General features: G+C 39.5%; 1 protein-coding gene across 22 annotated transcripts in view; it reads right to left on the minus strand.

Annotated features, from left to right (window-relative positions):
* The window catches only part of MTIF2 (mitochondrial translational initiation factor 2), a 32654-nt gene that overhangs the window by 13483 nt on the left and 4907 nt on the right, over window positions 1-14264 (minus strand). For 12 of the 22 annotated variants that reach the window (XM_047444424.1, XM_047444423.1, XM_011532871.3 and 9 more), the window contains 5 exons: window positions 13563-13788; window positions 12239-12350; window positions 4577-4748; window positions 3964-4124; window positions 2400-2576 (listed from right to left, as the gene is read on the minus strand). In XM_047444424.1, the coding sequence (XP_047300380.1) occupies window positions 2400-2576; window positions 3964-4124; window positions 4577-4748; window positions 12239-12350; window positions 13563-13781 (841 nt within the window). In that variant the 5' untranslated portion in view covers window positions 13782-13788. Of the gene's footprint in view, window positions 1-2399; window positions 2577-3963; window positions 4125-4576; window positions 4749-12238; window positions 12353-13370; window positions 13443-13562; window positions 13789-14264 lie in introns of those variants that run through there. The other 10 variants (XM_047444427.1, XM_047444431.1, XM_047444428.1 and 7 more) reach the window with 4 other exon arrangements.

Below are 14264 nucleotides of genomic sequence, written 5' to 3' on the forward strand. Positions count from 1 at the left end.
GCGAGACTCCATCCCAGAAAAAACACAACAAACAATACAATCATCCCTGGGTATACTGGTGGATTGGTTCCAGGACCCCCACCACTGCCTATACCAAAATCCCGGCATACTCAAGTCTTGCAGCCAGCCCTGCAGAATCGTGTGTACAAAAAGCCATGTAAGGAAGTTTCAAATTCTGTGAATGCTGTTTTATTTATGTTTGGTTGAAAAAAATGTGTGTGTTAAGTGGACCCACACAGTTCAAACCCGTGATGTTCAAAGGTCAACTGTATTTTGGGTAGAAAAAGGCCTATCCTTAAACCTAAAAGCAAGATCAGTAAGTACACTGGAGATAATCTCCAAAAAAAAAAAAAAAATCATGGGAAGATTCCAATTCAATACTGCTAGATCATTTGCCTCTTCTTTCCAGGGTTTATTTACTCATTGTTAAAACCCAACATCTCATCCTAGGTTAAAACTAAGTACCAATATCACAAATTTTCTTTTAGGACTTATACTATTTATTCATACACCTAGGTCAGTGACCTAGTAGGCTCTCAATAAATGTTTACTTAATGAAAGGACCAAACAATCTTTTAATCTACTTACTATCACTAGACATATCCTCTCTTTAGAGAAATCACACAAAATTCTACGAGGTAATTCTGTGGTTGCATTTCATCATCTCTGTAATTTTCTCAGGTATCAAACAGAAATTTTAAAAGATACAAAAAAGTTTTGCAATCCACAACGTACTATTACGAAAAAGTACATTCTGGCCGGGCACGGTGGCTCATACCTGTAATCCCAGGACTTTGGGAGGTGGGTGGATCACCTGAGGTCAGGAGTTTGAGACCAACCTGGCCAACATGGTAAAACCCCATCTCTACTAAAAATACAAAAATTAGCCAGGTGTGGTGGCAGTCACCTGTAATCCCAGCTATTCGGGAGGCTGAGGCAGGAGAATCGCTTGAACCTGGGAGAAGGAGGTTGAAGTGAGCCAAGATTGCACCACTGCACTCCAGCCTGGGCAATAAGAGCAAAACTCCGTCTCAAAAAAAAAAAAAAAAAAAAAAGAAAAGGAAAAAGTACATTCTATGTTGATGAGCTGGAACTTAACCGGTACCAAGAGAAGAGGTGTACAAAGCATGATCTAATGAAGTTATCCTATCTCAACCAATTGCTTTGTAATGGGATCCCTGGCAAATTTATCCCTCTCTTTTTGCATGTATTCCCTAGAATCATTAAGAACATAGTACATCATACAAAGGCAGTTTTGAGGAATTAAAAAGAAAAGAGAATAACATTGGAAGCTAGCAGATCCAAATTCCATATGCAGACATACTGAAAATTAGTGTATAATTGTATATAATTAGGGAGAGTTCTGGCTGCTGTCTGAGTCTTAGTTTTCATGCTGTAAAATGAAAGAACTGGACTAGTTCAGTAACTCCCAACCTTTTAAAAATCTTGCCAGTAAATCTGGGGGTAATATGACACACTTTATCGAGTACATTTTCTCAGTAAGGGTAGGGGTACAGTCATTTCAGAATAAAAATCAATATACCGAATGTGTAACTTTTTTTTGAGACGGAGTTTCGCTTTTGTTGCCCAGGCTGGAGTGCAATGGCACAATCTCGGCTCACCACTACCTCCACCTCCCGGGTTCAAGTGATTCTCCTGCCTCAGCCTCCCAAGTAGCTGGGATTACAGGTATGTGCCACCATGCCTGGCTAACTTTGTATTTTTAGTAGAGACAGGGATTTTCCATGTTGGTCAGGCTGGTCTCGAACTCCCAATGACCTCAGGTGATCCACCGGCCTCGGCCTCCCAAAGTGCTGGGATTCCAGGTGTGAGCCCCCACTCCCAGCCTAGAATGTATAATTACATGTGTGGGTATTTATTATTATAACTTTTAAATGAAGAAATAAGGGAGAAGATGGTTAAGTGATTTTCCAAAAGTCTGAATTTTATACATTTGATCAGATAAGAACTTATTTAAAGCAGAAGGGAAAGTTTCTCTTTAGAGAAGAATTCCACATAATAAATTAACAGGAAATAACAGAATATAACCACTATGCAACTCCTAATGAATTTATGTGATGGATAGATCGAATTTCATTATTCTTTTCTTACTTTTGTATCTGTTTAAAATTTCTATGATAAAAAGTTGAAAAAAAAAGGGCATAGTAGAGGAAAGATTGTACCTGTGGTCTGTACTTATGGTCACAACTCCCAAGTTGAATCCTGCTATACTCTTCCTATTAGTTATAAGTCTGTGGGAAAACAATTTATCTTTGAGGCTTATCTGTAATACACGTATAATAACTCTGGGATTGTTGTGAAGACTAAATGAGCTATATGTAAATGGCCCCAGAACTTTGACTTTATGTAGTAGATCCATTAAGTCAGCCACACAGTACCCTGTGCATCTTTGGCATGCTGAATAGATTCTACAGTTTGTTTCATCACTCCATCATCTGCAGCTACAACCAATACGACAATGTCAGTGACCTGAGCACCTCTGGCTCTCATTGCTGAGAAAGCAGCATGTCCTGGAGTATCAAGAAAAGTTATCTTTTCCCCAGAAGGCAGAGAGACTGTGGAAACAGAAATTCAAGAACATCAAGGATTCAAACATGTACTTCCTTAATACCAAAGAATATATGCGACATTATCAGAAACCATCAATAATTCTTTAAAATAATTTTATTCCTTCCATTAATCTTAATCAGAACACAGATCATCATTTCACAATGAAAAGTGATAAAATGCCAGTGAGATTCTTATGGGTTTTTTTCCATGTAAAAATTTCAAACTAAAGTCTCCATAATTCTAGAACATAACTACTTTCATAAATGTATCAACTGATATATCTATTTTAGAGACAGAACAGACCAATTGTTGTACAGGCAGCCACCCTCACATTAGCAAATCAGAGTTGCACAACTCCCTGAGCCACAGAGAGGCAATTTAGTAGGCAGTAGCTCACGATTTGAGTCCATTGACCTTGGGTTTAAATCCTGGCTATGCTACTTACTGGCTATATACTGTGGGAAAGCTGCTTAACTCGAAGAAGTATCGGCTTCCTTATTTGTAAGTGCAACTATTAATACCTACCTTATGATGTTGTTGTCAAGATAAAAAAGACAAAACATATAAGGTGCTCAGCACAGTACTGGAAACATGCTAGGTGCTCGTAAATGGGACTATTATTTAATTATTATCAGCAATATTATCACAACCTAGCAAAGGAAGTTATATAAACATAATTAATAAAAAAATTGTAGACTCATTAAATCAAACTAAGAATGAGCTAGAATTAAAAGTTAACACAATTTTCAGCCAGGCGCGGTGGCTCACACCTGTAATCCTAGCACTTTGGGAGGTCAAGATGGGCAGATCACTTGAGGTCAAGGGTTCGACACCAGCCTGGCCAACATGGCAAAACCCCGTCTCTACTAAAAATACAAAAAAATTAAGCCAGGCACGATGGCTCACACCTGTAATCCCAACACTTTGGGAGGCTGAGGCAGGCGGACCACAAGGTCAGGAGTTTGAGACCAGCCTGGCCAACATGGGGAAACCCTGTCTCAACTAAAAATACAAAAATTAGCCAGGCACGGTGGTGCACACCTGTAGTCCCAGCTACTTGGGAGGCTGAGGCAGGAGAACTGCTTGAACTGGGGAGGCAGAGGTTGCAGTGAGCCAAGATTGCACCACTGCACTCCAGCCTGGGTGACAGAGTGAGACTCTGTCTCAAAAAGAAAAAAAAAAAAAAAAAAGTTAACAGTTAACACAATCTTCTTCTTATAGAAAGTACAAAACACAGCTTTACTAACCACTTGCTCTACATTTCATCAAACTAATGACTGCAAGCTTTAGCCTTCTCTTGTACTTTGAATTTGTATATTTCATACTATGACATTTAGTTTAAGAAAATAAGTGGGGTTCCCAAGCACATTGTAAGGTAATTTGTGTTCATACCAAGAAAGGCACCAATGTGCTGAGTGATGCCTCCAGTTTCCACTGCTGCCACTTGAGTTTTTCGAAATTTGTCAAGTAATGTCGTTTTCCCGTGATCAACATGGCCCATTATAGTAACAACTGGGGACCTTGGGGTTAATAAAGCTGGATCTGCCTGGGGCCTACAATTAACAGCAAAAGAGTTTCATTTCTTAAATATCAGAAATACTTTATAGCCTGTGAATTGGTTCACATTTATCCCTGTGAACTACCATTAACAATAAAACCCAATATTCAGTGTGGATTAGACCTATTTCCCCCTCCTATACATATGACAGACTATTTAATAACTGCCTACCTACCTGTGGTTTGCATTTTCATAACAATGAGCAGAACTGAATCAAATTTGAAAATTCAGACCAATGTATACATTCAGCAAATTTTTAAAAAATCCTTAAAGTTTTATAATAACTTGAATGTATAATACACTTTCTAATGCTTTAAGTACTTCGAAGTTTATACACACATATCTTTATTACAAAAGAAATTTTAAAGCAAATCTTTCCATTAAAAAGTGTAAATATAACTATGTAGTCTCCCCCAAACCCTGCCAGTATATACAGTTAAGTTTTACCTTCTTACAGCATCTTTATTTTTTCTGACTTTGTCCTGTTTTAATTTACTCCACTTTAACTTCATCCCTGCCTTCGTTATCACTTCTTTGATCCAGACTTCATCTAAATGTGAGTCTGCTTCCAGTGAATCTATGTCAATATCAGTGTTCAATAAAGCTTCATATACATAATCTGATTGGAATAAAATAAAACCTTTTAGGATCATTAATTAAATGCTCAAGAAGTAATCTCTATTAATAAATGTCTATATAAACAGTACACTCAATGAGAGGAATAACTATGCAAACTGTTTCTCTAATATTAACAAATCACAAGGAAGCTAAAAAATGTTTTTTAATTATTTAAAATATGATACATTTCTATTAACTGACTTTTCCGCATATTCATAAATATTTGAATATTTATGTATTCTAAGCCATCTGAATCATCAATAAAACATTAAGATAAATTTAGTATTTATAATAATTGATTGTAGTCTATTTCTCTAAAAATTTAAGGTCACAAATGTCATGTATACACGAATGTGTGTGTGTATATACAATCAATTGCCATTATTTGCAATAATTATGTTCTATAAAGTCACCAAAACTATTGAATTAGCAAATATTGAACCACTGTTCTGAGGGGAAATATAGAGTTGGGTTCCTGCAAGCCTTTAGTCACATTTCATCAACTGATCAACACATAATTTTGTTTTATGCATTTCTGTTTAAAGATACTATATATATATTTATATATAGTATTATATATAATATATATTTATATATCTCAATATGATATATTATGTATAATATATATATATAAATCAAATATGTAAAATATTTATATATAAATACATATATTATATATATATATATTTGATTCATTAACATTGAACTCATGGCCAATTGCACTATAACTCATGCCAGAACAAGCTTATCTGAGATGCATATTTTCTCTGTAAGGCATATCACAGCCTTCTTGGGCTTAGGAACACTAGATAGGAATTCAGTACCACATTTAGGAGCCATTTTAAACAGCAAAATTACCAACAAAAAGCATAAAAATGTGAAAAAAAGTGACACTAAATAGAATACAAAAAGGACACTTGTTTGCAGTACGACAGCTGAAACAGTGTCACCTCATTCAACCTCAGCTTCAGAACATGCACAATGGACAACCCACATCTTTCACTGTTCTGCACATGTCCAATAATAACTGCAAGAGAACCTGAGTACTGATTTTTTTCTCTTTTTTTTTGGGACAGAGTTTCGCTTTTGTTACCCAGGCTGAAGTGCAGTGGGGCAATCTCGGCTAGCTGCAGCCTCTGCCTCCCAGGTTCAAACAATTCTTCTGCCTCAGCCCCCTGAGTAGCTGGGACTGCAAGTGCACGCCACCATCCCTGGCTAATTTTTCTATTTTTTGTAGACAGGGTTTCACCATGTTGGCTAGGCTGGTCTCAAATTCCTGACCTCAGGTGATCCGCCTGCCTCGGCCTCCCAGAGTGCTGGGATCACAGGCATGAGCCACCATGCCCAGCAAGTACTGATTTTTGAGCTGCAAATACATTTTGTTGAGTAGGTGAATTTTCAAATACAGAATCCACACCTAAAATAAATAATCCACTTATAATGAGAACTGATAGTATGTACAGACATACACACATATACACACACACACACACACACACACACAATATATATCTCTGAATACATGTATCCGCAATTCATTTACTTGTTTATGTATCTAGGGTGTCCAAAAAGTCTTTATTTTTTATTTTAAAAAAATTTTTGGCCAGGCACGGTGGCTCACGCCTGTAATCCCAACACTTTGGGAGGCCGAGGCGGGCAGATCACGAGGTCAGGAGTTCAAGACCAGCCTGGCCAATATGGTGAAACCCTGTCTCTACTAAAAATACAAAAATTAGCTGGGCATGGTGGCGGCACCTGTAGTCCCAGCTACTCGGGAGGCTGAGGAGAATTGCTTGAATCCGGGAGACAGAGGTTGAAGTAAGCCGAGATCACGCCACTGCGCTCCAGCCTGGGTGACAGAGCGAGACTCCATCTCAAAAAAAAAAAAAATTTTTTTTGAGACAGGGTCTTACACTGTTGCCCAGGCTAGAGTGCAGTGGCACAATCCTAACTCACTGCAGTAGCCTCAAATTCCCAGGCTCAAGCAATCCTCCTGCCTCGGCCTCCGTTATAGCTGGGACCACAGGTGCCACCACTACATCCTACTAATTTTTTGTAGAGAAGGGTTCTTGCCATTTTGCCCAGGTTGGTTTTGAACTCCTGGTCGAGCAATTCTCCCACCTTGGCCTCCGAAAGTTCTGGAATTACAGGTGTAAGCTACTGCACCCAAACCAAAAACTCTTGAAATATAGGAAAAATATTTACTTATTCTCTTTTTCATTTTATTTAATGTGCTTTGTTTTAATCTCAGTCATGTTTCCCTGCGGATGATAAATAAATGTATCTGTGATGATAATGAAATAAGTAGTTTTATGTTCCAGACTTGCAGTCACCCTATAAAAATATATTTAAAGAGTAGATATGAAAGAAGGCAGCCGGGTGCGGTGGCTCACACCTATAATCCCAGCACTTTGGGAGGCCGAGGTGGGCAGATCACCTAAGATGAGGAGTTTGAGACGAGCCTGGCCAACATGGTGAAACCCCATCTCCATTAAAAATACAAAAAATTAGCTGGGCATGGTGGCACGCACCTGTAATCCCAGCTGCTCCAGAGGTTAAAGCAGGAGACTCTCTTGAACCCGGGAGGCGGAGGTTGCAGTGAGCTGAGACTGCGCCACTGCACTCCAGCCTGGGCAAGAGTGAGACTCCATCTCAAGAAAAAAATAAAAGGAAGAAAGCCATCCTCAGATAAGCAGAACATTAAACTAAAAGAACATCCTATTCACTGGTATGCTGGCAAATGTTTAATAACTATGCTCTCAAAAATAAATCTCTAATTTACAGTATTCTCCAATTTCCATGGTGCAAATATGCCCACCATGGTTGATTACAAGCTACCAACATAAAGTCACTGAATGCAGTGTTGGGAGTCTTTTTACCATATAGATATGACAGGCATAAATAACCTTGAGAACACAGGTAATTGTAAAATGCAATAAAATAACTGGGAAGTGAAGAGTTGGTTTTGTTTGTTTGTTTGGGGTTTTCTGAGGCAGGGTCTCAGTCTGTCGCCCTGGCTGGAGTGCAGTGGCACAATCTCAGCTCACTGCAACCTCTGCCTCCCAGGCAGTCCTCCCACCTCAGCCTCCCAAGAAGCAGGAACTAGAGGCTCACATCACCATACCCAGCTAATTTTTGTATTTCTTTTGTAAAGACAAGGCTTCATCATGTTGCCCAGGCTGATCTCAAACTCTTGGGCTCAAGCGATATGTTTGCCTCAGCCTCTGAAAGTGCTGGGATTACAGACATGAGCCATCGCACCCAGCCAGTGAGTTTCTGAGTTTTTACTACCTTTGTGACTTAATTTTTTTAAATGGTTGTGTTTAACAACCAGCTCAAATAATTCCTTATAATTTAGCAATAAGCTCACAAACTGATGCAAGCCAGCACCAGCAAGCCACTGATTGTACTCCACAATAATGCCAAGAAACGATTTCCTATTTATCTTTCTACCACATGCTTTCCCAAGGAAACACATTTTAAGAATGATACAACTCAAATTTACTATGTGAATATGCTCTCAGAGAACTGTAAAACTATTTCAAAACAAAAATTATGAGTTGGTCAGGCATAGTGGCTCACACCTGTAATCCCACCACTTTGGGAAGCCGAGGTGGGTGGATCACCTGAGGTCAGGAGTTCGAGACCAGCCTGACCAACATAGTGAAACCCCATCTCTACCAAAAATACAAAAATTAGCAAGGCGGCTGGGCGCAGTAGCTCACGTCTGTAATCCCAGAACTTTGGGAGGCTAAGGTGGGTGGATCACCTGAGGTCAGGAGTTTGAGACCAGCCAGACCAACATGCTGAAACCTCGTCTCTAATAAAAATACAGAAATTAGCCAGGCGTGGTGGCACATGCCTGTAGTCCCAGCTACTCGGGAGGCTGAGGCAGGAGAATTGCTTGAACCCGGGAGACAGATGTTGCAGTGAGCTGAGATCGTATCACTGCACTCCAGACTAGGTGACAGAGCAAGCCTCTGTCTCAAAAAAAAAAAAAAAAAAAAAATTAGCCAGGCATGTTAGGCACCTGTAATCCCAGCTATTCAGGAGGCTGAAGCAGGAGAATTGCTTGAACCTGAGAGGTGGAGGTTGCAGTGAGCTAAGATCATGCCATTGCACTCCAGCCTGCACAACAAGAGTGAAACTCTGTTCAAAAAAAAAATTATGAGCACAATTCTATTTCTAATAATGGTAACAATACCTAATACTCTAGTTTTCCAATACATTATACTGAACTTTTGAGAGGTAGCTTACACAGAGAGATAATCATTTCCCCTCTGTGTTAAATGCATATGGTATTAACATACTATTTTAATTTTATCCAAGACTTAAATAAATATTTACATGTAGAAAAGTGTCCAACATATTGCAACAAGAAATAGTACATCAAGCTACTTAACTGACCCAGGAGAAGAGGGAATAAATGTACTCATATCGCTAATGTATATAGTAGTTAAAAATAATTACCTCATGAAAACTATCTTTAATTCAGAAGAGATTTGAATATGAAATAAGCTTCAAATAGACACATTTATTTTCATCATAGACAATCAGTTTGGGGTTTAGAGTACTGCTCCATGAGACTAAATTTGTATTTTAATCATTCTATTTATTAGTCATAATAAAGAATTATGGTTATGGGTTCCTCTATGTGTATAGGGGTAGGGGGTAATGTTTAAAAAAAAAAAAAGGAGTCCTCATCTTTTAGAGATACATACTGAAGTATTTATGGATAAAATAAAATATCTGTTGTCACTGACTTATGCATACATTTAAGCTTATTCCATTCTTTCTGCTACCATATTTGTCTGATAATTGCTAATAATAAAAAGTTTTGCCAGGCGCAGTGGCTCACGCCTATAATCCTAGCATTTGGAAGGCTAAGATGTGCAGATCACTTGAGGTCAGGAGTTCAAGACCAGCCCGGCCCACATAGTGAAACTCTGTCTCTACTAAAAATACAAATATTAGCTGGGTGTGGTGGCATATGCCTGTAATCCTAGCTACTTAGGAGGCTGAGGCACAAGAATTGCTTGAACTGGGGAGGCAGGAGTTGCAGTAAGCCAGGATCCTGCCACTGCACTCCAGCCTGGGTGACAGAGCAAGACTCTGCTTCAAAAAAAAAGTTTTAAAAATCAAGCCTATTATCAATACTATTTATAAAGCCACACCAATATAATTTTCCTTAGAAAAATTCTGAATGACATAGCCATATTCATTTATTTTCAAAGTTTTCTAGCTATAAAATGACTGAATAATCCATCTGCAAAATTATTAAAAATGCCAAACAGGCCAGGGATGGTGGCTCACGCCTGTAATCTCAGCACTTTGGGAGGCCGAGGTGGGCGGATCACCTGAGGTCGGGAGTTCGAGACCAGCCTGACCAACATGGAGAAACTCCGTCTCTACTAAAAATACAAAATTAGCCGGGCGTGGTGGCACATGCCTGTAATCCCAGCTACTCGGGAGGCTTGAGACAGGAGAATTGCTTGAACCCAGGAGGCAGATGTTGCAGCAAGCCGAGATAGTGCCATTGCACTCTAGCCTGGTTAACAAGAGTGAAACTCTGTCTCAAAAAAAAAAAAAAAAAAAGCCAAACAGTGTGCTAACAATTTTGTACTCTTTGTAAGGATGTACATGCACAAAAAGTAGTAACACTTTCAGGCAGGAAACACATTGAAGTTTAGCATTGCTGTGATTTACAAAATAATTATTGAAAGATAATGTGGTTGATGAGTAACAGCATGTGCTCTGGAGCCATATTCCATAGGTTCAAATATTCCCCATATTCCCTAGGTTCAAATCCTGGCTCTCCCACAAACTAGCTGGAAATAGTGGGTAATTACTTATCCTCTCTAAACCTCACCTTCCCAGCCTGTAAATAAGGATACCTAACTTTAGGGCATTGTGACAGCTCAACATATATGAGTCACTATTAATTCTTTTTTTCCCCAAGAGTCTGTTACACTTTGTTACAATAACAGGGTATTTCTCATATACTGAATTTTAATATCACTTTATAATGAAAACTCAAATTTTGTTTCAAAAATCCTAAATTGGTAATAAGCACATCACAATGAAGGAATATAAAAATGACAATAATATGCTCCATTTATAAATAAAAATAATATTATGAGAAGTTGTAGTTATTACTACCAGTATTTCTTTTTTTTTTTTAAGATGGAGTCTCGCTCTGTCGTCCAGGGTAGAGTGCAGTGGCGCGATCTCGGCTCACTGCAAGCTCCGCCTCCACGGTTCACGCCATTCTCCTGCCTCAGCCTCCCGAGTAGCTGGGACTACAGGCGCCCGCCACTAGGCCCAGCTAATTTTTTTTGTATTTTTAGTAGAGATGGGGTTTCACCGTGTTAGACAGGATGGTCTCGATCTCCTGACCTAGCCTCCCAAAGTGTTGGAATTACAGGCGTGAGCCACCGTGCCTGGCTACTACCAGTATTTCTCTGCTGGCCTTACAGATATTGTCAAAATGAGAGAAAAGGCTGGGCATGGTGGGATCACGCCCCTAATCCCATCACTCTGGGAGGCCGAGGCAGGCAGATCACTTGAGGTCAGGAATTTGAGACAAGCCTGGCCAACATGGTGAAACCCCGTCTCTACTAAAAAAAAAAAAAATTAGCCGGGCGTGGTTGTGGGCACCTGTAATCCCAGCTCCTCAGGAGGCTGAGGCAGGAGAACCACTTGAACCTGGGAGGCGGAGGTTGCAGGGAGCCGAGATCGTGCCACTGCACTCCAGCCTGGGCAACGAGAGTGAAACTCCATCTCAAAAAATAATAATAAAAAGAGTGAAAAAAAGGAAATCAGAAAATTATAGGGCCAGGCGTGGTGGCTCATACCTATAATCCCAGCACTTTGGGAGGTTGAGGCAGAAGGATTACTTGCACCCAGGAGTTCAAGACCAGCCTAGACAACATAGTGAGACTCTGTCTCTACAAAAAATAAAAAATTAGCTGGGCATAGTGGCACATGCCTGTAGTCCCAGCTACTCAGGAGGCTGAGGCTGAACGATTGTTTTGAGTCTAGGAGGCCAAGGCTGCAGTGAGCCATGATCATGCCACTATACTGGACAAAGCAAGACCCTGTCTCAAAAAAAAAAACCAAAAAAAAAAAAAAAGAAAGAAAAAAGAAAATTATAGAAAAACAAAAAGAGAAAGTATATAAGTATAGCCCCTCAGTCTAAAAACATTCTTTGGATTTATTCTAATAGCCCACAAAACTTCCGAGAAAGAAAACTTAATTCGTATAAGAAAATCTTTTCCACTTTAATTAAAAGCAAAATCTTGGAGAACTACATTTGGCAGTCAAGAAACTAACTAGGGATTATGACTTAAAGTGAAGAATATTACAATGACTTAATATATTTTTTAAGTGCCAGTCTAGTTTTTAATCTTTCAATGCCTTAATCTCGTTGCAAATAAAATGCCCGGTCTTCCAACATTCCCATATTTTGCTTTGTAAAAATATCTGACTCACCTGTGTTTTTTTCCATTGCCCTGGCCAGTTCCTCAATAGTCATTCCAATCCATACTTCTACCACCTTTTTAGATTTTGTTGAAGATAACTGAGATTTCCATGGTCCTTCTTCCTATTAAAAAAATCAGAACATATAAACAAAAAGGAAGAAAAAACTTAAGTGACAATTTAGATTTATTCTCAAATATCTACCACAATCATAGCTACATTTCTTTCTTTTTTTTTCTTTTTTTTTTTTTTTTTTTGAGACAGACTCTTGCTCTGTCACCCAGGCTGGAGTGCAGTTGCACAATCTCAGCTCACTGCAATCTCTGCCTACTGGGTTCAAGCCATTCTCCTGCCTCAGCCTCCCCAGTAGCTGGGATTACAGGTGTGCACCACCAAGCCCAGCTAATTTTTGTATTTTTTTTTTTTGTTTTTTGTTTTGTTTTGAGACAGAGTCTAACTCTGTTGCCCAGGCTGGAGTGCAGTGGCACAATTTCGGCTCACTGAAACCTCCACCTCCCAGGTTCAAGCGCTTCTCCTGCCTCAGCCTCCTGAGTAGCTGGGACTACAGGCATGCGCCACCATGCCTGGCTAATTTTTGTATTTTCAGTAGAAACAGGGTTTCGCCATGTTGGCCAGGCTAGTCTTGAACTCTTGATCTTGTGATCCGCCTGCCTTAGCCTCCCAAAGAGCCGTGATTACAGGCGTGAGCCACCACACCTGGCCTAATTTTTGTATTTTTAGTAGTGATGGGGTTTCACCATGTTGGCCAGGACGGTCTCGAACTCTTGACCTTGTGATCTGCCCACCTTGGCCTCCCAAAGTGCTGGGATTACAGGCGTGAGCCACCACATCCGGCCATAGCTACTATTTCTACCAACGAACACTCCCATAAGTAGTTAAACCTTAAGCTAAAATTAAAATCCTGTATCCTTAATTCACTGTTTTACACTGATTTCCAAGGAACCAAATTCATCAGCACCACACAATTAACCGGAACTTCCCTTTCTCACAAAGCTCTATTGCTTGGAGTAATACTTTATTGCATTAAGTAATAAATATTCTGTAAATGATAAATTACTCAAAATGGATTTGTACTCATGGTTCTAGGCACTTTCATTTTAGACCGAGTAATAAAATAACTTACAGAAATCTGTAACTATAGCGGGTGCGGTGGCTAATGCCTGTAACCCCAGCTACTCAGGAGGCTGAGGCAGGAGAATTGCTTAAACCCAAGAGGCGTAGGTTGCGGTGAGCTGAGATCGCGCCACGGCACTCCAGCCGGGGTGACAGGGTGAGACTCCATCTCAAAAAAAAAAAAAAAGAAATCTGTAACTACCTTTTTTGTTACTAGAAGCCTATACTGAGATAAAGCAGCCCCAGTGAGCACATCTGTTGGCCAGGGCCAGGCACACAGTTGAGCTGTCCACACAGGGTAAGCAGATGAAAACCCATGCCTCCACTGTCTTAATGCTCTTCTTTGACACAGACTGTGCAGTTGCCTATAAATAGTGTGAAATCGTAGCAAGTTCTCCAACTTCAGTAGCTTCTGGTTCATGTTTCTCCTGGGGAAAAAAAAAAGGTTTTAAAATAATATTCAAATCAAGTTAGCAAATATTAATTGGATATTTACTATATGCATAGCACTGGACTACACTTAGCTCACTAGACTTACAACAATGAGTAAAACTGGGTTCCTGCCCTGAAAAATCTCAGTCTCATCAAGAGATGGGATTCCATAACAAGTACTCTCTAAATACTAGCTATTATTATTACTGTTAATGTTACCACTATGATAGAATTGAAATACAATAACAACTTGTAAAAGGCTCTTTTTTCACTCTTGAAATATCAACTAACCAAATCACAACTAGAGTAATGTTTCTAAAGTGCGAATTCCAAATGATAACATTTCTGTTAAACACCCTGAAACTTCTTTTTTGAAACCGGGTCTCACTCTATCATCCAGGCTGGAGGCTGGAATGCAGTGGTATGGTCACAGCTCATTGCAGCCTCGACCTCCCAGGCTAAGGTGATGCTC

This window comes from Homo sapiens, chromosome 2, assembly GCF_000001405.40.
Source record: "Homo sapiens chromosome 2, GRCh38.p14 Primary Assembly".
In the NCBI taxonomy this organism is placed as follows: Eukaryota; Metazoa; Chordata; class Mammalia; order Primates; family Hominidae; genus Homo; species Homo sapiens.